Source organism: Homo sapiens, chromosome 2 (genome assembly GCF_000001405.40).
Source record: "Homo sapiens chromosome 2, GRCh38.p14 Primary Assembly".
NCBI lineage: Eukaryota > Metazoa > Chordata > Mammalia > Primates > Hominidae > Homo > Homo sapiens.
Genome location: NC_000002.12, coordinates 134,336,673 through 134,363,769, shown reverse-complemented (window position 1 = coordinate 134,363,769; position 27,097 = coordinate 134,336,673). Strand labels below are relative to the sequence as shown.

Below are 27,097 nucleotides of genomic sequence, written 5' to 3'. Positions count from 1 at the left end.
ACTGACTTTCATTTTACTTGAGGCAACAAAGTATGGTATAACATACATAGGAAACATTCTTACCAGCCGAGGGTTTTCCACCTTTGGAATTACTGGTATTTTGTGCCAGGGGCCATCCCATTCATTGTAGGACATGTACAGCATCCCTGGCCTCTACCCACTACATGCTTGTAGCACCACTGACCAGACATCACAACCAAAATTGTCTCCAGACACTGTCAGATGTTCCCTGGGCAGAGGGGAATCGGTAAATAAAATCGTCTGCAGTTGAGAACTACTGTACTAAACAAAGACAAAGGTCTAGCTGTTTAAGACAAAGAGTTGTCTGGAATTAAATCTGCCTCCCTGGAGATGGGCTGATCTCATCATCCCTTTGGTGTAGTTAGTACCTTAGAGCTGAGGGGTAGGGCACTGCTTTTCCTTTTCTGAACACAGGGTCAGAAAAGCAGTACCAAGGAATTCTTTATCCTGTACATCACCTGTACTCCCTCAGCTGTAGGATTCCTAACTTCCTTGGCTAGCAAGAAACATGAGACCACAGTCTGTGATCATTCAAGAAAGCAATGAATTCTTACATTTAGGAAGAGGCATGTTGTGAGATCCTGAAGACTTCTATCTTCTAAAAACATTTCCTCAAAAAAAAATTATGACATTTGGCCAATGAGGCAGACTTCCCACATAAAAAGATCTGCATTACCTGTCAACAGGTCACATCCAATCTGGTTCCTCTCCTGTTATACTTTCCCCAAATGTACTCAGGAAATCAACTCAGGAGGGCCAAGGGGCCCAATGCTTTTGGAGGACTTGGTTTGGTCTGTGGCCAAGAGTGCTGTTTCAGCCAAGACCTCCCTGAACAAAGTGCCTACAGTCAGCCCCAGCAAGAATTTACTTTCTACGTCAGGTGAGTAGTGACTATAGCCAAGAGGATGTGAAGCCCACTGCATTTCCCAGGAAAGGGAACTGCCTACCTCCACAGACTACCTCCCAGAAGCAGAGGGAAAGACTCCCTTGGTAAAGTTTCTCCCTGTGCAGTATCTTGCTCCAGAAAGATATTCAACCCCTGGAGGGCCCTGGCTCTCAGAAGCAAGTACAAGGTGTGAAAAAGCAGCTAGAATGTGTCCCTTCTGACATGCAGAGAGTGAAGGTGGCTGTTGTACAGCCACTATCAGAAGAGCAGGTACATACAGCCTTGGTTAGAAACCCAAATGCTGAGCAACTGAATCTTTGCACATTCTTGTTTATGTCTAAGTAGATCCCATTAAGCCCTGGGCACTTGGCTTGATTATTCCCTGGATCAAAGTTAAATTAAATTACCCAACAAGCTTCTTTTCAGAGAGAGAGACACGCACAGACTGACTCACCTTCCAGAAGCTATCCACTTTGCCATACACAAGGGACTGGTTCTGCCTTTTGATTTCATTAATGTGGTGGATATCACTGGAGTTCAGGTGCTGCTCAACCACAAACCCCAGAAAGCTGTTGTCTGGGGTATGAGCTGGTGTGCAAAGAAATGGAGAGGACAGTTAGTGTCCAATCAGCAAGAAGAAATAACAATCACATATTTAACACAGGCCATCTTACCCATAACAAAATGTTTGTTTTCATCTTACCCTGTTCTTTCTTACCTGAGGGAGGTGAGGGATTGTCATCTCTCCCACACATTCCCAGTAAAACCGTCATGAAGAATACTTCTCTCTAGGATGGATTAACCTGAACCAAAACCTGCTTTTTAGGGGAAAATACATCTGTCTGAAAATCATTAAGCTGTGTACTCTCTTCCTTGTTGCCTCAGAATAAGGCTACTGTCCATTTCCCAGCAGAAATGCTTTCACCCAGGTTTCACCACCTACTGGCCAGAAATCTGTAGGGGGCAGGGCTGACTGGGAGTTCTGAATAGGCGCAGAGTCCCCACATAACTGAATCTGACTCCAGCTGTGTTTTTCACCCAGCTACATAACAGGAGGTTGAGGGACAAAGTGATGAATAATCCTCAGAACCTTTCATCTCCTCTAAGAATTACTCACTCATAAAAGATGTAATTATGGGTCTATATTGAACAGGTGCATGGAATGAAGACAGAATAAAAGGTAAAGCCTGCTGGGGCACAAACCACTCAAAAAAATCCAACCACTGCAAAGGAATACTGTCTACAGAGTAGGCTATTCTGGAAGAGAAAATTTTGGATTTCTCTCATTTGGGTTCTGTAACTTCTCTAACGCTTGACCAAGGGGGACAGCAACCCCACACCCTCTCCAAACATCCGCATCTTGTGCCTATAATTTTAAAAGGCATTTCACCAGCAAGTGACAATCAGAAAATAATTCTCTCTAGATTAAACAGAGATGCTCCTCTCCTCTACCTTCATTCTGTCAAGAGAAATCTCCGTTTTTCAGGAGATGAGCCTGCAGAGCCCATGTGTGGCTGATATTAAATGAAGCAACTGCTCTGCTTGGCTCTGACCTGAATAGAACAGCTATAAATAACATGAAACCAAATTCCTCCTGGTGATTGAGATATACACAAGATTCTGAAAAGTCCACCACATCCATTCACAGATAGGTGGTCAACAAACAGAGGAAGCTGGTCCCTTCATCTTGTTCTGGTTGTGCTAGGACTGAGGAGCCATTTCCCATGCTTGTAGCAGCGTAGAAATCCTTTCAGACAGACAGATGGGCAAAGGCCAGCCTGCAGCACAGGCCTAGGACTCCGATGCCCAGCCTCCAATGTCGCCCGCCATGCACGCAGGGGAACACAATGAAGAAGGGACAGTGGCAGGAAGCCCTGAGCTGTGGAAATGCACGAGCCATGTAAAAACTGTGTTGTCACCCTCCGTTTCCCAGGCTTTTGCCTGATGGGGGTGACAGAATGAGGAGATAACAGGGTTGTGGCTGGGGAGTTGTGTTCAGTCTGGCCAATCTGTTATTTCATTTCTGCGTTTTTGAACCAGTGCCCAGAGGCAATGGCAATGGCTGCAGTTGGCTGGAAAGTAAATTACTGAATAAATTCTCCTGCCAACAAGAGGCGATAGTTGCTTTTCTCCCCCCTTTTGAGAAGCTGAGGGCATAGGGAATTTTCAAGGATTAGCGGGGAGAGGAACAAAACCTGTGTGCATTCTCAGTGTTATTATGCAGCTTAAAATATTTCTAAAATTTTTTGTTAATTCTAAAAGTTTTGAACTCAAACCTGACACTATACTTCAGGATCAGGTGTTTTTAAATTTTTTTTATTTTCAGAAAATTTACATGGTGATTAAAGCACGATGCTTTGAAATACTTGCTTCTGAAATGTAGTTATTTAGTCCCTAGGTAGGCACTTAAAAAATAATCCAGCAAGTGAAACAATGGGTTTTATTTCATGTTATAATATACTAATATATAGTAAAAAATAAAATGATTCAGCCCCCCAAATGAAAAAATACATATATGTAACATATTTTTGTGTGAAAGATTCTCCTAGCTTCTAGCTTGACTGGTGAGAGGGAGAAGCAAATATCAGAAAAACTTGTGAGGAATGGTGGGCTTTTGCTGCTATGACTATAATTTGGTACTCAATTAACTCTGACACTATGAATTTCACATCTAAGCTCTCTTCTACGTTTTCATCCAAATACTTTAACTCCTGTCTCACCTTGTGAAATGTTAACTTAGGGATCAACAACCTGCAAGTGTGGTTTCAAGGACCTCAGGTGAGACTTAAGATTTACAAACAGTATCACCACGTTTAATGAGCCAAGGCCTGAGCACTGGTCTGACCTCTACATGCCTTCGCCTCCCAGGTGACTCTAAACTTGCCACAGGACACTAAACCTTGACCACATAAGGGTTTGCTCAGCCATGACTCGCCCCAGCAGGTGATTCTGAAGTAACTACCGGCCCAGTGTGGCTTGCTTCCAAGGATCTGAACACCAGCTGGAGCCCACCCGGTAACATCTGCCGAGAGCGCCCTGGTCTTATCACAAGTGTTCTTAATGGTGCTTATAATAAATCAAAAGCCACAAGTCCAGGAGGATGTTATCTGAAATGTTCATTTCATTGAGTTCAAACTTCAGGCCAACCTTTCTTTTTTGCTCTGCCTTAGGAAGGGAACAGAGACTTTCATTGTGTTGGGAGGGTTTCAAAGAGAAGGTATTTACATTTTAAGGTAAATCAAACAAATCTCATCATAAACGGGATGCAGGAAATCCTGTACTTTTAGTAATCCCTCCATCCCAGAAGATAAACAAATGTGATTTTTAAAAAGGATGGCTGGTATTTTGAGTTCTGACTACATGCCAAGTTCTGTGCTAAGCGCATTATAGTGACTCTTCCATTTTAACCTCATAACCGTGTAACATGTTTGTACAGATAAGAAAACAGAGTTTTGGTTTAACTACCCAAGTCTACATGCTAGGAAATGGCAACACTGGGATTCAGAGCCAGATTGGCTGCTTTCAGGGCATCAGCTCCTTAAGTCACTCTAATACACAGCCTCATAGTCCAAATAATTTTCTGGACCCTGTGAACAGCAGTGGTAAACCATGCTTCAGAGGAAAATAATGTTCTAAGGTAGAGCAAAATACACAAGAGTGATCTAGAATACATACGCAATGTCACCTCAGTTTCTTGAGTATCTTGTGCCATATGTATGTGGGACCACACAGATTTTTTCACATGCTAAAAAACTGCAGGAGATTTGCCAAACATTAGCAATGATTTTAAGACAATTTAGAACAAAATGTCTCTTATTAAGAGAAACACTATTTTAAGCACTTTGGAAGCACCTATTTACAAATGATTACAAATCAGCTTGATGTGGTCCCTGAGCAGAGTATGATGATAACTACTTCTAAGAAATACTATTAGCTTAGCTTGAATAATTCACTCAATGACAAATGTTTTGGAGCATTTCTACAAACCAGCTTATATGATAAGTATTGACAAACTACAATATAAAGATGAGTTTCTGCCCTCAAGGAGCTTACCAGCTACTTAATAAATGAAGCATACACTATATCTACCAAGCAGTCATAATATCATCTTTTAAACTATAATTCAAAATGCATACTAAGTCGAGTTGACCTTTCTTTCAACTGCATAAATCTCTGAGGTCTGTTTTTTCTACCAGTAAGTCCCAAACATCTCTAAGAATGTAATGTATCTTCACATCTCCTGGTCACCAAGAGAAGAAACCCCAGCGCCAGCCTGGGCCCATTCCTTAGCCCTCACAGTCGGTGTAGTCCCAGGGATATTAGTTTCTCAAAAATCCATCAACTCATCCTTTCCTTTTTGTATTTGTGAGTCCAGGCCTTCTCACTTTTTGCTAAGACTTCTGCAATAAACACGCTTTTCCTTTTCCTAAATACAAATGGATTTATTGGTTTTCCTCATTATAACAGAAATATATCCTCAGATTAAAACTTTTTTCAGATAATAAAGATATGAGAAAAAATAAGTTACATTTTCATCACCTAGAAATAACCACTATTACTGGACTTTTTTTCTAAGCTTGTGGATCATTTTTCCCCTCAAAATATTGAATTATAGTTAATGATGTGAAGCTGAAGCATCAGAGAGTTCTTTTATGCATCCAAAAAAAAAAAAAGGTGGAGTGATGGATAGAGAGAGGACTGGGGCATATAGATTGATACAGTAAATGGTTAATTGTAGAATCTAGATTTGTGGGTTTCTAGTAACATTTCTTCTATTTTTTTGTATGGCTGAAAACATCATTTAAAATACTGAAGAAGAATACTGATTGTCATCATATTCATGCCGTTTTTGCTGATCCTGATAAAACCGACGGTAGAAAAAAATTCATTGAAAAATAGTTATGTCACACAAGAAATCTGGATTAAAAAACTATACATAGTAATGTTATGCTTCAAATTTTACAAAAACTGATTTTTTTTTTTTTCCAAATGGTGGTGATACTAGTTTCTTCAAGAGAGAAGGCTGGGATGCAGGCTAGGGAAACTGTAATATAAGTTGAGCTGAGAAGATGAGCGCCTAAATTGTTGACAAAAGGCACCTCAGGGTAAAATTTTCAAGTGTCAAAAAGCAATTTAAGAGGGAATGGACTCCTTAGAAGAGTAACACTCCTGAAAGCTGAGACTCAGACTGAAGGAACCACGAGGCTGATCCTAATCCTCAGTGGTCTGCACAGAACTTAAAGGCAAGAGCCCTCCTGATTCAAGTTAAAGGCCAAAATGGAAGTTTCAATCACAAATAACTCCTTTGGTTATCATGTCCTAAAAATAAAATTGTACATGGAAGTTAACTGATCCTTTGCTACAGCCAACAGGCTTATTATCTGCATGAATGGGAATTGACTTGGTTCTAAAATTCCTGTTTTGCCAGGCAAAATTTTTGATCTGCAAGCCATCATTCAATTTGATCATGCAAATAAAAATGGCTGTGAGCCCCAAATCCTGGGAGAAATTCAGGGTTGGAATATCAATGATACTGACAATCATTATGGTCTGAATGCCACTTGAAAGCCCAAAAATGTGAGTAAGTTCCCTGGGAAGACACAAGAAAGTAAGATGAGGCCACTGGCCTAAAGAAGTTTCTACAATCTTAAATTTGTACAACAGTCTCCTTCCCTACATTGTTGCATGGATTAAAAACATAATAGGCAATATTGTTCATTCTAGTTTAATTCTATCAATAAAAGACTTTCTGAATGCCTACTATGTGCCAGCCACTCTTCAGGATGTTAGAGTTCCAGCAATAAACAAAGCAGCTAAAATTCCTGCCATTATATGTCTCAGATTCCAGGGAAGGAAAAAGAAAATAAAAATAAGTGAAACATAAATACTGGGTAGCAATAAAGTCATGGAGGAAAATAAAGCAGGGAAGGGGAGGAGAAAGTTGGGGAAGGAAGGAGTTGCATTTTAAAAGAGGAGGTCACAGTCAGTCTCACTGAAATGATATTTGAATTAAAAACCTGAAGGAGGAGATGGGGAAGTCTAAAAGAAGAATGTTCCAGGAGATGGGACAACCAATGCAAAGGTCCTGAGGGGGAGTGTGCCTATTCTACTCAAGAAACAGCAAGGAAGTAGAGAGAAATGAGCAAAAAGCCGCGTAGTAAGCGACAGGGTTTTGAGGACCCTGGGAAAACTTGCCTCTAGTTGCCACAACTAGGATGTTCCCCACCTCTGCATTCAAATTTTCCCTACTCCATTCACCTGGGTCTGTAATTTTTAAAGTGGAAGTATGAGAAAGTCTTATTTTTGCGTACCTCCTGACTCCACCGAAAGTAAGCTTCTGGAGAACAGAGACTTAGACATCCCACAGATGGTCAGGAAACACACACTGTTCAGTGGATAAAATCGACAACCAAATAAAGATTCCAATCTAACTCCTAAACTGACGCTCATAAGGAACAAGAAAATACTTAGGCTTAGTCAGCTCTGTAGCCTTTACTAAGGAGCACCTTACAAGGATTTGGGAAAGAGGAGGAGGGGGTAAAAAGAAAAAAAAAATCAAAGAAGTGGAAGGTGAAATGGGAAAGTTCTAAACACCTCCAGAATCCCCCATCTGCTCTTCTCTCCACTTTGTTATAGCTTCCTGTCTTTTCTGCTCCAAATTTCCACAAGTACCAAGAAATGCTGAATATTCTCTAGTCTTGACTATACAGAATGTGAGCACCCAGAAGGCAAATTCTTGTGTGTCTTCACATTGTGAATGATAGCCAAAATGTTGCAGGTACTTAACACATACACGCATAAATAAAATAAAATAAAATAAATAAAACTATACAAACATAGTTTGCTCAGGCAATGTAGTAAATGCTCTATGGTAATGATATGAAAAGTGAGGCTGTTAAGCAGAACTGATTTCAAAGGTTATTGAAATTTTTGTAGGATATAAAAATAAGGTCTGAGATCTGAAACCAGGGATGGGGTATCTTGTAATGCCTGCTATTGCTACTTTCAGCCATCAACTCTAGGGAAAGAGAGGAAAAAACTCAATTAGATAAAGATGATTTACCACTGCCAATGTTTTTATACAAGCCAGACGAAGTTGTAAATGTGGGTGTGGTGCAGATAATTAGAGCTATCCAAATACCGGAAAATTTACAGTGCAAGTCATCAATTTTAGAGCTTTCTCTTCTAAATGGTAAAGGCAAATGCCTTCGCTCTTATTTTTCTGTGCGGGCAGATTTCTTGCATTTATTTACTGAGATATAATGCACCTTGTTTGAGACTGTCAAAAATAAAAGATTGCCTTCAGAAATTTAAAACAAGCCGTATGCACAGTTAAATAATACGTAAATATAAGCCAAGCCAGGTACCTGGCAACCATAAAAAAAGCATCAGTTAAGTCTCAACAAGAAATAACAAAAGCATCCCCAAATAACTATGACTTAGGAACTAGCCACTTGCGTGTAGAAGAGTCTTGGACACAATGGTTTTCAAATCTGAGTAGAGTCTTGAAGGAAAAAAAAAGATGATATATTAAGTGGAAAAAAGGAAACACAAAATTTTAGTACGTATGTGACAAGTATGTAAAACTACACTTGTGAAAAAGATAAAAGTTACACCAGGGTTAGGGGAGCCTTTTTCAGTGGGAGGAAGTCTTTCCCTGTTTTTGTAATTGGGTTACATTTCTTTATAAATTTGATTGGAAAATTGGAGGAAGTCACTTACATAGAGTTTTAAAGAAAAAATTAAATTTTGCTTCTCAGGGACCAGCAGGCTGTTTGGTGAGACCGGGGCCAGGACCTGGGGAGGAATATGGTCGGGAGTTGAGGCCAGAGAGCCTAAGGTCTTGAATACTTTGCTGTGGAGTTTGAAAATGATCCCATGGACAAAAGGAAGGCACTGCAGTCTCTGAGGAGAAACAGCCTGATCCAAGCTGAGCTTTCAAGAGCTGGTTTTTGTGGTTGGAAAGCCTTAGTGCCTAGTTCAGAGGTCATTTTAGCATGCGGACAGAAGGAGTGAGCAGGAATGGGGGCCTAGAAGGAGGAACAACCAGACTTACCAGATTCCTGGGGAAAACCCAACACTTAATAGATCTAATCAAATGGCCTTAGTATTGTCTGGCCACCAGTCCCTCCAGAAGCTGCTTAGGAAGGTGTCAGGAATAGTTTATGTGGACACCACCTAAAATGCCTAACTGCAAAGAGAACACCTGACGACGATGGTGCCAGTGAACCTCTGAGACTGGGGGCAAAATAATACAGAAATGCAAGGTTCTTCAATTTGTAGAAACCCCACCAACTTAGGAAACGAGTTAGAGGAGAAACAGAAGGAGCCTTAAAGTGAGACGTGTACCATGAATATTTAAGAACGCAAACACATTCCGGTCCAGCGTATTTCATTTCACTGTTCCTCAAGATGCATCCCAATGGTGTATTTTTCTTTATCTTCCCACTGGGTTCGTTTGGACTGGCCTTCCCCACGCTCTCTGTCTGCACATGAACCACAATACTGCTACATCTTACTATAAGGCAGCTAGTCCTGAAGACTTTGTTCCTCAAGTATAGCACTCTATTTCTGCAGTCTCCAAACTGTGCATTCCATCAGTAGAACACAATCTAAGCACACAGGAACCTGAGTACATCCTCAGTATATGTGCATATTTATACAGAAATTATATAATGATTACTATCCAGCTCATATATTAAGCACTAGTATTTGTTTCACTTTTGAAAAATTAACAAGAAATAAATAGAAGTTTTGATATTCAAAGGAACGGTATTTCTCTTCAGACCACTAAAATAGCCACATTGACCCAAAAGGTAAAGGAATGGAGGGCTCTATGGGAAGGACCTAGCTGGACTGGACTCCAGGCCTTTGTCACATGGGAAGAAAGGGACCCTCTTGCAAGCATGCATCCAAGTTCACTGTGGGCAGGCGCTGGAAAACAGAGTGTAGGAACTATTTTTTTTTTTTGTTGTTGCAAATTTTCCAGCTCAGGCACATCTCAATAGGATAAAGGTATCAAACTGCTTTATTTCTCTATTCATTTCCATATTTCCTCCATTCAAGTCAGCCTCGTCCATGAGAAAGTTTTCCATCAACCTGTTACTTGATGGATTTAGCGACCACTGATGATGACTGTTTTGCTCTGCTGTCTCATCAGGAGTTTTATAACGCTCATTTTCTAATTCATTCCTTTTGCATGTATTAGTTGTGATTTCTCCATAATTAATGACTTTCTCTCATCAACTATTTGATTATCTTCAAATACAATTTGTGCTAGAAAGGCATGATCAAAGCTGAATTCTTTCACTTTACTTTTTACAGTAATGAGGTAGTATCCTAGCAATTTGCGAAGGTGACCCACTACACTTTGTGGAGTTTTCTTGGTTGGTGTATCATTCCGGAATCTAGAATCTTTAGGTACTCTCCTCTTTTTGTATACTAAACATCGTGGTTCCTACAACATACCCATAACAGTTTCAAGTAACAATATAAATATTTCCCACTACAACTGTATAGTCAAAAGATTGTCTTTTAAAGCCACTTAAGTAATAATCTTCTCTGTATGAGAGGTTAACACCAACCTCACGTGTACAGCTAGGTTTGTCTCTATCTGTTTTCAATTTTTAGTGAATGCTTTTCTTTTTTATTTGAATTTTTATTGTGGTAAAAAACAAATAACACTAAAGTTACCATCTTAACCTTTTTTAAGTGTTCAGTAGTGTTAAGTATATTCACACTGTTATGCAAGAGATCTTCAGAACTTTTTCATCTTGTAATACTGAAACCCCATAGCCATTAAACACTAATTCCTCCTCCCAACTTGGTAACCACCTTTCCGCTTTCTGCTTCTATGATTTTGACTACCTTAGATACTTTACGAGTGGAATCATATGGTATTCATCCTTTTGTGACTAGCTTATTTCGCTTAGCATAATATGCTTGAGGTTCATCCATGTTGTAGCATATGACAGGATTTCCTTCCTTTTTAAGGCTAAATAATATTCCATATATATGTACACTACATTTTCTTTATCCACTTGTGTGGATGGACATTTGGGTTGCTTCTATCTCATGGCTATTAGGAATACTACTGCAGTGAACATGAATGTGCAAACACTTTTTCGAGATCCTACTTTGAATTCCTTGGAGTATTTCTCTTTTTAAATTAGGTAAAACATTTACATGGTCCTAAAGTCAAAATAGGGAACATTAAGAGACATCACCCTTCTAGCCCCATCCCTGGATAACTTTATCCAATGGGAATCACTTTATCCAATGGCAATCATTTTTATTAGTTTATTTATCCTTTCATTGTTTCTTTTGGAAACATAAGTTCATTCATATATACTAACATGACCACACACACTCTTCCTTTGTATCTGACATATATAAAAGGGAGTAGCTCTACATTGTCCTGCACGTTGGCTCTTATCACTTAAAATATCCTAGACATGCCCCTCCTAGAATGAAAGCCTTCCTCATTTCTTTTTATAGCTATGTAGTACTTCACTCTATTAATGGACCATATTATTCACTCAGTCCCCTATGATGATTACTTGGGTTGTTTCTTGTTGCTTCCTATTACAACTAGTGCTGCACTAAATGCCCTTGAGCACATGCCACATCTTGATTTTGCTCATTATCTTTGGGATAGATTCATATATATGAGGTGCTTAGTTGAAGAAAGAAAATGCAGAGGCGGTTTTGCTAGATCCTGACAAACGCCATCCCCACTGGGGTAGTACCATGCTGCATTCTAACCACTAGGGTTGAAGAGGGCTGGTTTTGCTCACTGCACCATCAGAATAGCTATGCTGTTTAACTTTTGCATTTCTGCCATTCTGTACATGGGGCATGGTATCTTGGTGCAGTTTAAAAATGCATTTCTCTTACTGTGAGTGAGGTTAACATCTTTCCATATGTTCAGAGCAGTAAATTTCTCTTTCCTCTAAACTGTTAATAGCCTTTTCCCATTTTTCCGTTGGAACATGGAACTTTTTCTTCTCAATTTTTATATGTATGTATGTATATATAAGGGTCTATGTTAGTAATTTAGCCCTCTGTGACATGATTTGCTTATGATGTTACTGGTTGTTGTTTTGCCATACAGGTTCTTCTTTTTTTAAAATATAGTCAAGCATATCAATTTTCCCTGATTTCTGCTGAATTCTGAGTCATGGTTAGGAAACTTATTCCCTTCCCAGATTAATAGAAATTAATCCATGTTTTTGTCTTCAGTTACATTTTAAGCAGTGAATTTCTTTCAATTTAATCAACCAATACTGCTGAAATTCTCCATCCATGGAGAACAAAATAGGTTTGCAGGACTCTGAATTCCAATATTCTAAAATAGAACTTTATGTTTTCTAGGAAAAAAGAAACCTCTCTTCTCTACTCCCTGGAAACTCTATCTCTTGTAGGGCACACGCCTGCCATATCACCCAGCGGTTTTAGTCACTTTGAACACAGTTAATGTTTTATTTCACTTGGTTTAACACATAGGTCACTTCTTAGGCTATTCTGTGCCATCTCATCCCATCCCTCAAAGTTACACAGCAAAGTCAAACCAGAGGCAAACTCTGAGCATCCTCACCATACTGAAAGCCATCTGTTATCTAACGTGCCAAAAATCAATTTGCTCCATGAACTGTGCCCCAGGGACGGTGTGTAATAGCAGGATGATACAGCTCCATGAACAATAATGTTTATGAAGCATACAACACACTTTCACAAATCTGAGCTTAATAGAACACTTAAGGATGAGTTGATTTTTAAAATTACTCTCCATTCTTAATTCTCCCTTTTCATGCCTAACACCCAAAGATTAGTCCAATGCATGTGCTGTTACATTTAGTGAGTGTGAGACAGGGGTCACCTTCAGGTAGCTGTGTACAAGGGGGAGGGGCAACCACATGGGAAGAAGATCAGGAAGGGGTCTTTTGGGTCTTGTTTCCACAAAGCAAACAGATTCATCTCAGAAGTTATAAAGTGGAAACCTCTGGATTAAAATTATCCTGATAATTTTAGAAAATAGGAATTCTCTCATCAACCAAATTATCTCATGTGGCCTTTCACTTCTGGAATAGGACTTCATCTCATTACTAAGGACTACTGACTTATAAAATAAATTCGTTTTTGGTACTAACACTATCAAATGTGGTTTTTTGAGTTCACAGTCCTCAGCTAATTAGAAATGAGGCCAGTGCCAAGTAAACAGAAAGCAGCAGGAAGAAATGGTAAAAGTGGGAAAATAATCCTATAGAAACAGAAAATGTCTAAGAGCCTAGCATCTGTGGTCAGTTAATTCATCATCATTTGGTGTGCTGTTCTTACTATATCGGCTCATGAAATAATCACTGCTGCTGAAAACAATGATACCAAGTCAGCAAGAGAAGGTAAAATTTCATTCTGGGCCTAGGATTGAAAAAAATCAGTAAAATACAAAACTGAGTTTAAAACAGCTCCATTTTTAAAAGCTATTTTTTTCTTTAAAAAGTTTGATGCTTAAATAATTAAGGTTTAATTATGTGGAAAATAGATCTGCATGAAAGACTTCACCTCTCATTAGTGACAAAGTGTACCCTAAATAGCATCCATGTGGCATAAAATGTGTTTAGTGCCTGCCAATCTAAAGTAACTGCAAAGTCCTTTCCCAAATAGTTTCTAAAGATACTTTGTATTGAACATTTTTTCTCCAGAACATTTTCAAGGCTTTTCAAAAAATATTCATGTGGCCTTTCGATTTCAACTAAAAAACAAAAACAAAAAAACAAATTCAGTAATTCCCAAGGAAAAGGTTCAACAGCACACACTTCTACAGCTAATGGTCCTGAGAATCATAACCCAAAATAGATGGCGGCTAATTTTCCCATCTATCTTTGGTGGCATTCTGGAAAGCATACATGAAACAGGAATACTCACGGAACATGGTATAAAACTGCTGAGGGTTCAGATTCCATTTTCCCCAAGGGGTCTTGTGGCCTTTCGATTGGGCATAATTTGCATGATTAAATTCGGGTTCAGTACCAAATGAATCAAGGACTCGGAGCATGCACCTGAAAGAAAAAAGCAATGTGTTGAACACTACATACTTGCCCCCAAAGTTGAAAAGGTAAAAGCTCTAACCCTTCCTTCAAGACTACTAAAAATAGGTAAATCCTTTTAAATAGAAGCAGGACCAGACAAGAATTGTGATGTTTTACAATAGCTTGTGTACCGAACATCTACTTGTGTCACTTTAGAGTCTGAGACATCACACAGCAGATACGATTTGCTTCAGATCGGGTAACTAATTACAGAAGATCATTCAACTACCAGCAAAATAAAAAGTTCTATGAAAGCTTGAACTGGGGACTGCCATGTTCAATGCTGTACCCCCAGCACCTAGCCAGAGCTGAGCACACAGTAGGTGTCTAATCAACTGATGCCAAAGAAACAGAGCTACCATCTATAGAGGTCTTATTCTGCTTAAAGCATATGACACGTGTTATCTCTAGGAGCAATCATTCAACATTTTCATCAATTGGAGTATTTGACTTTACATTAAGCTTAGAATCTCATTCAGTAGGCAATGGTATTTTTTTATATATCTGATAGTAATAGAACTTTATTTGCTTTCTCCTAGAACTTGAAGATACAAGTGAAAATGTTTTGTTTACTATTCCACCAAAGCCATAAAACAGGGCCAAATCTGGTCTACCGCCTATTTTTGTACGGTCTGTGAGCTTAGAATAATATTTACATTCTTAAATGGTTTTTAAAAAATATTTTGTGACATGTACAAATTACATAAAATTCCAATTTTCATGTTCGAAAATAAAAATTGTACTTGAATGCAGCCACACCCTGTTGTTGACCTATTCTCTATGGCTGCTTTCATCCTGCAACAGCACAGCTAAGTAGCTGCAGCGATGCATATACGGCTCAAAAAGCTTACAATGTTTACTGGCTGGCTCTTTTCAGAAGGTTTTCTGACCACTGCTCTAGAGTGCACGAAGAGCAACCAGTTGGAAGAAAGGAATCAATCCTAAAACAAAATTTATTGATTTTGATAATATTTCATCACTGACTTTCAAAATATTTGATGTAAATTAAACTTGAGGATGGCCAATAAAAGCAGCTCTATTTTCTATTATGTATCAGTAATAACTTCTGAATAACTTTTAGAAGACTAAGAAGCATAAAAGTAAAGATTGAAACCCACATTTTAGAATCAGATGATGGCAATGACTTCTAAAAATCTGGCTCAGTTTTTTCCTACTATCAGAAAAGCATTCTTTCAACTTTTATTTTCACTTCAATGTATGATTCAGGGGGAAAAAATCCAAACATGAGAATGGACTTTTTAGGAAGTATACTCAAAAATTTTCATTTCTGTGTGCTAGTTTTGTCATTAGAGATCACTACCATTCGTCAAGGCCAGGAAGTGAAGAAAAGAAAGGCAGGCAGGCCACCACCACAAGTCAAATACAAGCTAACTACAGGAGGAATTTCCCTGTCTTAGATTCTTGTGTGGCTCTCACGGAATATGCTCTCATCACAGTGGGAGTTTTCACAGTATCATCAAAGATATGTCATTGGCCTCGTGGCCGATAGGTGGGCAGAAATAAAGCCCACAGTCCCGAAAAAAGAAAGCTAGGGACCCAAGGAACTGATCAGTGTTTGTTTTTGTTGCTCTTTGAATAGCTCAGAGCATCCCTTTCCACTTCTTAATAAAACATACCCATTTCTTAACTTATATTTTTCCGTTTAAAAAAAGATGTACAAGGAAGTGGTTTGAGCCACTATATATTCTTCTGCAAAAGCTGGCAGTGTTAACGGTGGCAGCTCTGCAGGTCACTGCAAAAAGTGGGAGGAGAGGACAGGACCCACGCTGATTTGTGGGGCTGGGGAATGCTCCACTCCTACCAGAGAACCAGAGCTGGGATTCACCAGCACTACTTTGTGAGTCAAAGATTACAGCACTCTGTGCAGGCAAAGCAGGGAGAAATGGGCCACTGTGGTCATGTGGAGCCTTGGCTTGAAGGCTCAGCTTCTTCCATTTATTGGCAATTGACTCCAACAGTCTACAGCCATCTTTGGTATCTGGTGGATTTGTTCCAGGACCCCTGTGGACACCAAAATCCAAGGATACTCAAGTCCCTTATATAAAGTGGTATAGTACTTTCACATAACCTACGCACATCCTCTCATATTTAAATCATCTCTAGATTACTTATAATGCCTAATATCATATTTGTATTTTTATTATTGTATTGTTATCTTTTTCCTTCAGATATTTTTGGTCTGCGGTTGATCCGTTGATGTGGAACTCATGGATATAAAATGCTAACGATATACTCTTCTCTAGCTTTGGCTAGTGACATTTTTAACTTTGAAGTTTTATTATTGTTATTTTTGATTTGGGCAATTAAAACAAATCCTGATGAGTAAAGTTGTCTGCTAAGGGCCTAACTCCTGAAAGCCCGGACTTTGCACAGCGCCTAGATGTAAGCTATGCGGCACTGGGCTCTTCCTGAAAGAGGAATGGAATGATCGGATGTCTCTCAGAAATTTATAATTCGACATCCTTTTACTTGAGGCTTTGGCTTGGGAATTGCTTTTCTAGCTTATCTAGGTTTAATTTACAAAGCACAGACAGGACACTGGACTTGGTCTATGACATGGAAGGTTTGACATTATAGTTTTCCTTCTTCAATCACATCCTGCATCTGTGTGTTTTGCAACTATTTTTATAATGTGCTGCTAATATTTATGTCTTCCCTCTAATGTCTCTGTGTCTGGAGCATCATAGGCCGACTAATGACTTAAAAAGATGTTTGTTTTGATGCCCAAGGCAGCTCGCCTTCCCGTAACAGCGATCGCAGCAGCCATGCCAAATACCTCCTAGAAACTTCTCTTTGCTCTCAGCCACACTACTATGAAATGGATGTTCAGGAGCTCCTTGCCATGCCCTAATTTCTAATCTGGTGTTTGACATAAAACATGGCATATCTTGGACTACTTGCAGTTTACTTTCTTGTATGTCCTTCAACAAAGGCCTTGTAGGAAGTAAAATGCGTATGAGCTTTGCAGTACCTAGCAGAATACTAGTTGTGTGTAGGCATTTAATATATGTTTAATTGAATTTCCTAGGTCCCTACGTAAATTGGACAAAATTTACAATTATTTTTCCAAGACCAACTGGCCTCAAGGGTTTGTTCCTAATTGAAAGATCAGATAACAGCAATACATTTAATGGAATACATTCCATTAAATTTCTGATTTTTAAAAGGGAAAATTTTGAATTTTCCCTGACAATTTCTAATTTTTAAAAGGGAAAGAAATCAGCTAGAAACTTCCAAGAGGATCTGAGTAGGCTTTTAATGGAATCTTTGCTTCACCATACCACAAAGACTGCAGAGCTAAAGCACTAACAGACCTCCTGCCAGGTAATATCACTAACATAGATGATTTATTAAAGAAAGGCAGATAAACATTACACTCATCCATAAAACCCCCTCTGAGATGGTGCCTTTTCATCCAACAAGAAATCAAATACCAATCAACGGTGACCATTTTAATAACAAAATTATCCTTTTTTAATTCACCTAAACAGTACCACTGAGAATATTTTTCCATCCAAAGAACTCTTCTTAACAGCGAGGATATGTGAGTCAAGGGAAGCCTATACCGTGTAGATTCCTTTGCACATTTATCAGATGTCTGCCGTTTACAAAATGGTAGAAAACAACAGCTCTACTTGGGTCAAGATTTCAAGAAACAAGCCAAAAACCAGAAAAACACCTCATGCAAAAGGTAGAGCACTATCTTGGCCCGCAGCAAGTTTTTAGTTTTGCTTTTTTTATATTTATGTGCCATTTACATTGTTAAATATATTTAAGTTTATTCACCTTTTAAAATTGATTTTTTAAAGGAAACTTTTAAAGACCATAAATAAAACCCAGTATTGACTGCCATAAATGCAAGATAACAACAAAAAAAAGCATATAACCTTTAGGAAATATTTTACAATTCAGAATAGATACTTTTGCCTGCTGAATGCTGAGACTCACAGCTACTCTCACATTGTTAAAAATGCATGTGTTAAAAGTAGTGTCGGACACAGAGTAGCATCAAACTACACCTTTTCTCAAAAAGACTGAAAGAAAATTGAAAAATTAATAAATTTCGTTATGTAATTCATTGTGATTTAGTGCCATGTTTGTATACCAGGTAAAAGCATTTCAAATATTAAATCGTGGTCCCAAACCCACACTCAGGCAAACACTGAGCTACTCTACTAAATAATAAAGACTGCACAGAGTACACATGTACCACAGACATACTAATCTTAATGGGCTTATCTTAAAAAGTGCAAGACCCCAGCATTCAGATAACGTATTCCCAGATTTCCCTTCCAGGAATGACAAGAATACTGATGAGGTAAAGGGTAAGAAAAGCGAATCATGATCTAAAACCCACGGAACACAAGAAATGACACTGTACATATTTTATCAAAATTGTTATTTGATTAAATAGATGACACTGGCATACGCATACTGAGAGGAAGGCTAAGTATTAACATTAGTCAAGGTAGAAAGGAGGTTGACACTTGTTTTCTAAGAAACCAATGAAAATAACGAATAGCCATAGAAAGTACAAAGTCACTGAGAATCTGAATTTCAATTACGAATGAGCAACACTCCATACAGCTGAAAAGATACTATTTGATAAGCTTTTTCTACCCACAACCATGCAACCTTTGTTAAGGAGGGGAAAAAAAACCTTAAGTCAGAACACCATGTAGCACTTACTGGTAATGAACCCAGGATGGTCCAAGAGTTTTCTTGAATTGAGCAAGTCCTACAATATCAATGTAAATGAGCTCAACAATTCTGTCTCCTACAGTTGGGCAGCCAGATCGGTTTCCTACAACCTTCTTCATGATTCTAGAGAAACGGCAAAAGAGAGGGGAGAAAAAAGAGAAAAATCATTTACTTAAAAGGTAATAAACTTGGCAACTTTAATGGGCAAATGCCACCCCAAAAATCCTTTTTAGAGATGACAGCATGGCCCTTTCAAATCTGCTACCTATATAAATTATTTCCATCCATTAAGGCCAACCCAGTACCCTGATTCTGACTCTTGCAAAAGCAAATGGTGGCATATAAACACAGTCTTTGAAATCAAGGAAGATATGGGTCTGACTCCATCACCACTATGTAGCAGCTGTGAGACCTTAAACAAGTTACCTAACCTCTCTCAATCTCTTTGCTCATCTTCCAGAAAACAAGGACTGGATACAAAGAACATTGGATACCAGTCTCTCAGGGGTTCTTCACAATGAGATATTGAAAAGAAAGTGCCTAATGAATACTAGATACTCAATAACTTAGTTTTCTCCCCCAGAGCCTGTTCTTACCGCTTAGCACCCTTACTAACCTTCCCCTCCCCTTTTTCTAAATGTCTTCAATTTCTAGCCTCTATAGTATTAACTTCTTTCTACCTGCCTCATACTGTTCCTTAACTTTTTCTCTTATGTCAAATTTTTCCTCCTCGCTTGACCATATTACAGAACTAGCACTATGGTTTACAGTTTTTTTTAATCACCCTTTCCCCCACCCATGCATCCATCCACACAAAACCATACTTGCGCTCAGAGCGTGACGATGTACTTGATTGGTAGGCCAACTTCATGTGTAGGAACGAGTCAGTGCTAACCCTACTGCCATCCACTCACTAATCAGTCACCACTGTTGCTTATCTGCAACACCCCATGATAATCCTTCACCAAATTATGGATATCCTGCTTCAAAGGACGAGAGTCACAAACAGGACTCTGCTTGACAGCTCTGTACTACCACCACATCAGCCACCCTTCTTCCTCTCCCCTGTTTATGAAAGAACTAGGTTCTGCAGAACCAGTTTCCTCCCAAGAGTCAGAAAACCCTTTCTGTTAAGGGCCAGACAGTGATTATCTTCATCTTTGCAGGCCATACATTTTCAGTCACAACTGGCCCATTCTCCCGTTGTGGAATGAAGACAGCTATATATGATACGTAAACAATAGGCATGGCTGTGTTCCCATGAAACTGTATTTACAAAAAAAGACAGAGGGCTGATTTGGCCTGCTGAGCCATAGTTTGCTGATCTCTGGTCCACCCCATGTTCAGTGTTTCCCAAACTTGTCTGTATAATGAAATTACCTGGAGGCATCACAAAATACTTATGGCTGTGTCCTACCCCCAAGGGTTGTGATCTAATTAGCCTATGGCATGGTCTATGGGATTTTTAAAAGATCCCCCAAAATTAAGAAATAAATACAAAGATCTCCAGGTGGTTCTAACGTACAGATATATTTAAAGACCACTGCTCTATACTGCTTCCACAATTATCTTCTTAAACAAAACACATCTAGCCCTGACCCCAGTGTGCATAAAGACTACTAGAATTAAGTCCTCACTTAACATCATCAATAGGTTCCTGAAAACTGGGACTTTAAACAAAACAACAGATAGCAGGCCCTCCAATAAAGTCATTTCCTTCAAATCACTGGTTATAATGTTGATGAAAAAAATTGGTTTCATTTTACATAATTTCATTTATAGTCCTAGTTTCCAAGAACCTATCAACGATGTTAAGTGAGGACATACTGAACAAATTTTCCCTTGACCATCAAATTCAGTCTCTGACTGATAAATCCCTAACATGTCTTTCCTGACCTCCCCAGGCAGTACTTGTCCCTGGTTCTACCACAGCACTCCATTTATTTACCTACCCACTCATTCATTCACCTATTTATTCCTTCACTCATTCATTCTATAAATAGTTATGTGAGTACTCATTACTTGCTAGGCACTATCTAGGTGCCCACTACACAGTGACAAACGATACTCAGTTTTCTGCAATCCCAGTGCTTACATTCTAGCATCCACGTACACCTCAATTAGCACCAATAGAATTGGAATTTGTGTAATTATTTTTAATATATTAGTTGTAATTATCAAAAGATTGGCAGCAAGATCTTTGACCACAAGCTGGCCATCTCTGTATGCCCGACACCAAAACTAGCCTACAGAAGACACCAGATGAGTGACTGCTAACTGTATAAATGCAGCCACTTTGTAGGTTGTGTATCCAATTTTTTTTTTTTTTTTTTAAGACAGAGACTTGCTCTGTCACTCAGGCTGGAGTGCAGTGGCATGATCTCGGCTCACTGCAGCCTCTGCCTCTCGAGTAGATGGGACTACAGGCATGGGCCACCACACCCGGTTAATTCTTGTATTTTTAGTACAGACAGGGTCTCACCATGTTGGCCAGGTTGTTCTTGAACCCCTGGCCTCAAGTGATCTACCTACCTTGGCCTCCCGAAGTGCTGGGAGCCACCATATATTGTTTTAACATGTCTCTCATCTCAATGAGCTCTAGAATGTTCATTCAAGGTATTCCTTCTGGAAATATACGACATATAGCAACATGGCAACTTGACTGTTGGGTGGGAAGTCTCCATGGGCAGTAATCCTAAGTGACTGCAGGGGATGGAAGCGTCCCTGCTCAGCCAGCTATGCCAATATAGAAGGGATTACAGGAGGGCTGGAGCTAGAAGCAAATTTCAGTGAAATGAAAAACCCAAGTAGAGTTAACAGACTCAGCTGAAAGTTGGCTAATTGAAAAAGGATCAGCTCAGGGCTTTCAGGAAATTTATTCTATCCAAATTGAATTACAAACAGGAACCTGCCCTGTTTCAAGATTTAGCAAGATTGATGTTGAGTAGGCAGTGGTATGAATTTCAGCAAGAGACAGGGAATTAGGAAAGTCAATAATGTTTTGTGCTCCAGATGTTGGAAGCACCTGTAATAGCAAAGAATAAGCTCCTTAGTTTGAATTTTCTGGCATTCATTTATGAAGCCTCTGGAGCCTTCAGCGACAATGAAAACATATTATCCTTTTCACAGTGTATGTATTTAGCTCCTGAAAATAATCTTCTTATCTCCTGTTTAGTGAATTATCACTTTCATTTTCCTCGACAAAAAATTATACACTAATAGAGGTAATACTTTAAGAGTTTACAATTTCTTTTTTGTATTCTGATTTTAAAATTGAAAAGTAATCTCCTTACTCCTTGAGCTCAGCCAGTGAAGCTGAAATCCTAATGTCATGGCCCAGTAAGTACAGAGATGTAATTAAATCACTCCATTGAACTAATTCACCAAGAGGGCCACCACTGAAAGCTGTCTCTGCAATCTTAAATCCAGATTCCTTGGTCAGGAGTCCCAGGTGAACGAGGACCTGGAAAACAAAGAGGCATATACTGATTCACACTGAACCACATACAAAAGGCACAGTAATGCGCCAAGAAATGATTGACCAATCCCAAAGTCATGTTTACATCCTAACAAAATCAAAGGGTGGGGAATGCTGTTTTTCTAGAAGGTACAAAGGAAGGAAATCATTTTTCATTGTGGTTTTAGAGAAACAAAATCACTGCAGCCCTTGGTATGGCTATGAGTACAAGGTATGGACAGATAATTCCACCTTTTAAAAGCACAGTGTATTTGTAAAATCGGGATTAAAGGAAGGTAAGACAGGACAGTATTTTCTAACACTATTGGTCTTTTATCTACAGCTAAAATACTTCTAACCTCTTACCATGGAAAATTTCAAACACATGGAAAGGCAAACATGACAATATAGTCAATGCCAAAGTAATTACTGTGTAGCTTCAACAATTATTAATGCATATTTAATCTATACCCCCATTTTCTCCCAACCCCTCTAGATTATCTCAAAACAAATTCTAGACATATCCTTTCATCTGTAAATATTTCGGTATGTATCCCTAAAAGGAACAAACCTTCACTTGAAAAATATAACTTGAACATCACTATTATCCCTAAAAAACCTAGTAATTCCTTAACATCATCTGATATCCAGTTAATATTCATACTTCTTCAACTGCCCTTTATTTTTTCTAAATGCACCTGTGTGATTCAAGAGTCAGAGAGCATACGTAATAATTGCCTCATATGTCTCTTGGCCTCATAGAAAACAATGTACAGGTGTCTCTGTCTTGGGATGTTAGCAGTCCTGGATGGTCACTAGCTAGATCCATTAATCCATTACGGACTGCAAAATGATGATATTTTACCATTCCTTCTTTGTTTATTAGCTGGAATAATACCTCTCTATAAAGAGAAACTACCCCTCATCAACCATTTGGTCACCCTGAGGTAACTCTAAGGTTTGTAAAGAAGGAGCCTGGTAAATACTTGATTCTTTCTCTTCATTTGCCAGTTTTTCAGAATAATAAACTTGTTCTTTAGCCTACTCTAATGATGATCTATGAGGATTTTTAATTTAAAAAATCATTATGACATCAAAGCATATTTGATATGCTTCAAAATATTGTGGATATTCCTCTCACTGACTATCCAATTGTCCCATCTAGGCCTGTGGTAGGCTATCCAAGCTGGCTCCTAAGTTCTTTTGACACGATCCTAGTCTTCTTTGACAGCTTCTCTGCACATGGGTAGACAGATGTGCCTGACAAGACTGTTGTAGGCTCAACAGGTACAACTTCTGTCTTGGACCTTAATAAGCCATTTTTCCAAGAACCTCTTATACCACTTAGTAGAAACAGCATTTAGAGACTAAAGTGTGGGGCTTAAGGGACTCAATTTTATTACTATTTATAGGCCTGATAGTGGCCCTAGCTAGGAAATTTGTTCTTCCTCAAAGATAAAACAAATCATGAGTTTAGACTGGTGCTTCCAATTCAAACTCAAGGTCATAGTGTTTTTACATAACATCACCAATCCTACCATCCATTAATTCTTCTCTTCCACACTGCAAATCCCACTTCTCAAAGACACTAACATAATTACTCATCTGCTTTACTCCAATGTTCACAATGGATTCAGAATGAGAATATCAATGCTACCACATATTACATGATTAATAAAAATGGTTTTAAGATGTTTTTACAGTTTTTATCCTTTGTGATATCCCATCAGAAGTGTACAGTTTACTGTGTTCTGAAGTCACTAAGAACAGTCTTTTTCTGTGCGCTTCCATCAAAACTGGATGGATATATAGTCAGTTCATTTGTTTTATATTCCTTTTAATTTTTAGTTTTTGGTAATAACATTTTGTTTAACACTTACATAAAATGATTCCAGCATCAAATCTACAAAGTCAGATATATTCAGAAGTCTAGTTTCTATGGTAGTTTCTGTTGCCTCCATGCTAATCCCAACTCCCCTTAATAATTGGACCATTTTTTTCCTTATTGCAGTAAAATTCACCTAACATAAAATTTACTATTTTAATGTATACAGTTCAGTAGCATGAAGCACATTCACATTATTGTGCAACCATCATCACCATCTCCTTTATTTTTAATTTTAGTTTATCAAAATAAGAAAAATACGTTTTCAAACTAACAGCAAGAAGCAAATATATGTATCTGTATATATCTTTATGTATACATAGATATAAATTCCCTCTCTCTCTCAAAAATAATGTAAACTATTCTCTACTTTTCTTCACCTAACAATATATCCTCGAGGTTACTCCACAGGAATATACAGAAAAATTCTTTATTTCTTTTTACAGCCCACCTGCACATCTGAACACATGCTCTTCCATACACAACCATTTGGTGACAGAATGTGTGGTCCTGTTGTCTCACAAATTCAAGAGATCTAGGCAAAACTGACCTATCAAACTGTGACTTGGGATCCTGTAAATGTATCTTTATTTTCTTTTTCAAACATATCAAATTAGTTGGATTAGGAATACCAAACTCATTTTTAAGTTTTTTAGATGTGGGAGCAAATTACTCACTTTGCTCAGTTCTGAAATCAGAACAGAACAGTTAATCTAAAGCCAGACCATCAAATCTATAGCTAACAGGGCATAAAGTCTTCTAAGCCCAGGGGTATTCGAGAGGTTTTCCAAGCCTGTCCTCATAAACTAGAAAGAAACTGGCTCAAATTTAATCAAATTTCTCTCTCTCTCTCCCCTACGGGCATAAGCAGAAGCACCAACCAGACAGAGTAACAATGAAACTCACTGGCTATCCAAAAGCCAGGGATGAAAAACAACAAAAATACAAAATTTTCATGATGATATAATAGGAAGCTCTCGAAGGTTGGATTCAGGTAAGGAAATGGGGGAAAGTTTCCTGATACCCTGACAAAGACAGGTTCAAAGGAAAAGTCTTACAGGCAGATATTCTGCTTGGCTTCACCCAAGAAACTTGTGCCAGACCCTGCTAAGTGGGAGCATTGTAAGTGGGGAAAGGACAACCCAAAAACAGCTGTACAAGAGACTGAGCAGATTCACCCTGAGAGAATATCATTTGAGATATGACATTTCTCTTAGTCTTGTTTCCAAGCAAAATCAAATTTTAAAAGAAAGCTGGCATCTAACTGCACTGAATTAATAAGAAACTCACTTTCTTCCGCTTTCTCTTTTCAAGGTTCTGCTTTTCTGCCAGGGACTTGATTGCTTGGATCCATGCGTCAGCCATTCGCCGGATCCGTAGTCTCATCCACCGGAATTCTTCATGCTTTTTCATCATACTGTAGAGAATATTAAAATCTGTACGAATTTCCGCCTAGCAACAGAAATTTAATAAAATGAATAGAAGATAAAAAGTCAGAAAGCATAATAGTTTTCATGATGTGACATCTGAAAACTTAAAAGGGTTAGTCAATTAAATTGAGAGCTTCAAAAGTAAGTCTTGTCTGCTGCAGCTTTGACTTTAAGGTCCCAGGATTGCAAACTGAAGCCAAGGCTGCTGACTGCTGATCTGCCCAAAGGGACATCATTAAAAAATTAGAAATTGAGAAAAGCAGCACAGGCATTACAAAGCCCTGAGCTATGTTAAAATGCAGTTTTTATAATGAGTATGGTTGATGTACCTTGAAATTCTCAGCACTCAAATTTACTGTTCCACTTGGATCTACCACAGGACAGCAGACTTCTAAGAAAACTGAAGTCAATTCTTAGCAGGCTGTTTGACAACGTGGAAGTTGCCAGAAAGCCTCTTTCTGTCCACAGAGTTAAATAGGGAAATAAATGCTCATCTTCTGGTTTTGTCCCAGTCCAAACAAAAATTCATTGTTTTCTAAGGAATTTAAAGAGCCAAGAATACTACTTTTCTGCCATGAGTGAGAACAATTTAAAATTCCAAACAGAATAAATTAAAAGCCAGGAAGAATATTTTTCCTAATGCTCTGGATAATATAGCTGGATACAACGAGTGATTGGAATAATAGAGAAACATAATAACCAGTATTTATTTCATAGAACATCTCAAACATGCTGAGTCCACCTTTTCAGTAATCACCATAGCTCATTCTGAACACTCATCTCTTTTCCTTCTTTATCCCCCTTTGAGATAGGGTCTCACACTCCCACCCAGACTGGAATGCAGTGGCATAATCACAGCTCACTGGAGCCTTGAACTTGCGCTCAAGCGATCCTCTTGTCACCTCAGCCTTCCAAGTAGCTGAAACTATAGGCACTCGCCACCACGCTCAGCTAGTTTTTAAATTTTTTGTAGTGATGGGGTCCTGCTGTATTGCCCAGGCTGGTCTCAAATGGCTGGCCTCAAGCAATCCTCCTGCCTCAGCCTCCTAAAGTGCTGAAATTACAGGCATGAGCCGCCACATCCAGTTTCATTTCCCTTCTTGACTAAACAATATCCTACGACTCCTGTGGTTTACAGCATGGAACAGCAAACTACAGCCCTTGGGCTAAATCCTCACAGCTTGTTTTTGTGCATAAAATTTTACTGGAACTCAGCCATGCCCCTTCATTTACATATCATATACAGCTGCTCTCTGCGCTACAATGGCAGAACTGAGGAGCTGCAATGAGACCAATATGGCCTGCAAAGATGAAACTATTTACTATCTGGGTATTTTGTAGAAGTTTAGTGATCTATGGTCTAAAGAGTAAAGACTTAAGCTTTTAATGTGGCAACAAGTACTTTCACAGTCCCCTTCCTACCTTCCCAATTTCACCTTCAGCCTAGCTCATCCAGTCACCTATGGCCTTGGCCAACTGAACCATGCGTGCATGCTCTCCTCCCTGAAACTGCTATGCTCTCATTTTCCCACACGAGAGATACCCTTTTCTCCTTGACCTTATATAAACTCACTCATCATTTAAATTCGGCCCCAATGTCATCTTCAC

The 27,097-nt window shown here is 38.8% G+C and overlaps 1 protein-coding gene across 23 annotated transcripts in view, besides 1 other annotated feature; it reads right to left on the bottom strand.

Moving 5' to 3' along the window:
- MGAT5 (alpha-1,6-mannosylglycoprotein 6-beta-N-acetylglucosaminyltransferase) overlaps positions 1–27,097 on the bottom strand; it is a 334,687-nt gene that overhangs the window by 90,852 nt on the left and 216,738 nt on the right. For all 23 annotated transcript variants that reach the window (XM_006712534.4, XM_047444397.1, XM_047444400.1 and 20 more), the window contains 5 exons: positions 25,350–25,511; positions 22,011–22,180; positions 18,706–18,840; positions 13,832–13,965; positions 1,362–1,495 (listed from right to left, as the gene is read on the bottom strand). In XM_006712534.4, the coding sequence (XP_006712597.1) occupies positions 1,362–1,495; positions 13,832–13,965; positions 18,706–18,840; positions 22,011–22,180; positions 25,350–25,511 (735 nt within the window). The remainder of the gene's footprint in view (positions 1–1,361; positions 1,496–13,831; positions 13,966–18,705; positions 18,841–22,010; positions 22,181–25,349; positions 25,512–27,097) is intronic.
- Positions 10,640–10,729: an enhancer, noted in NCBI's record as "active region_16561". NCBI's record gives its function as "activates an Ori minimal core promoter by ATAC-STARR-seq in GM12878 lymphoblastoid cells {active_cell/tissue: GM12878}" and the evidence as "EXISTENCE:reporter gene assay evidence [ECO:0000049][PMID:35858748]".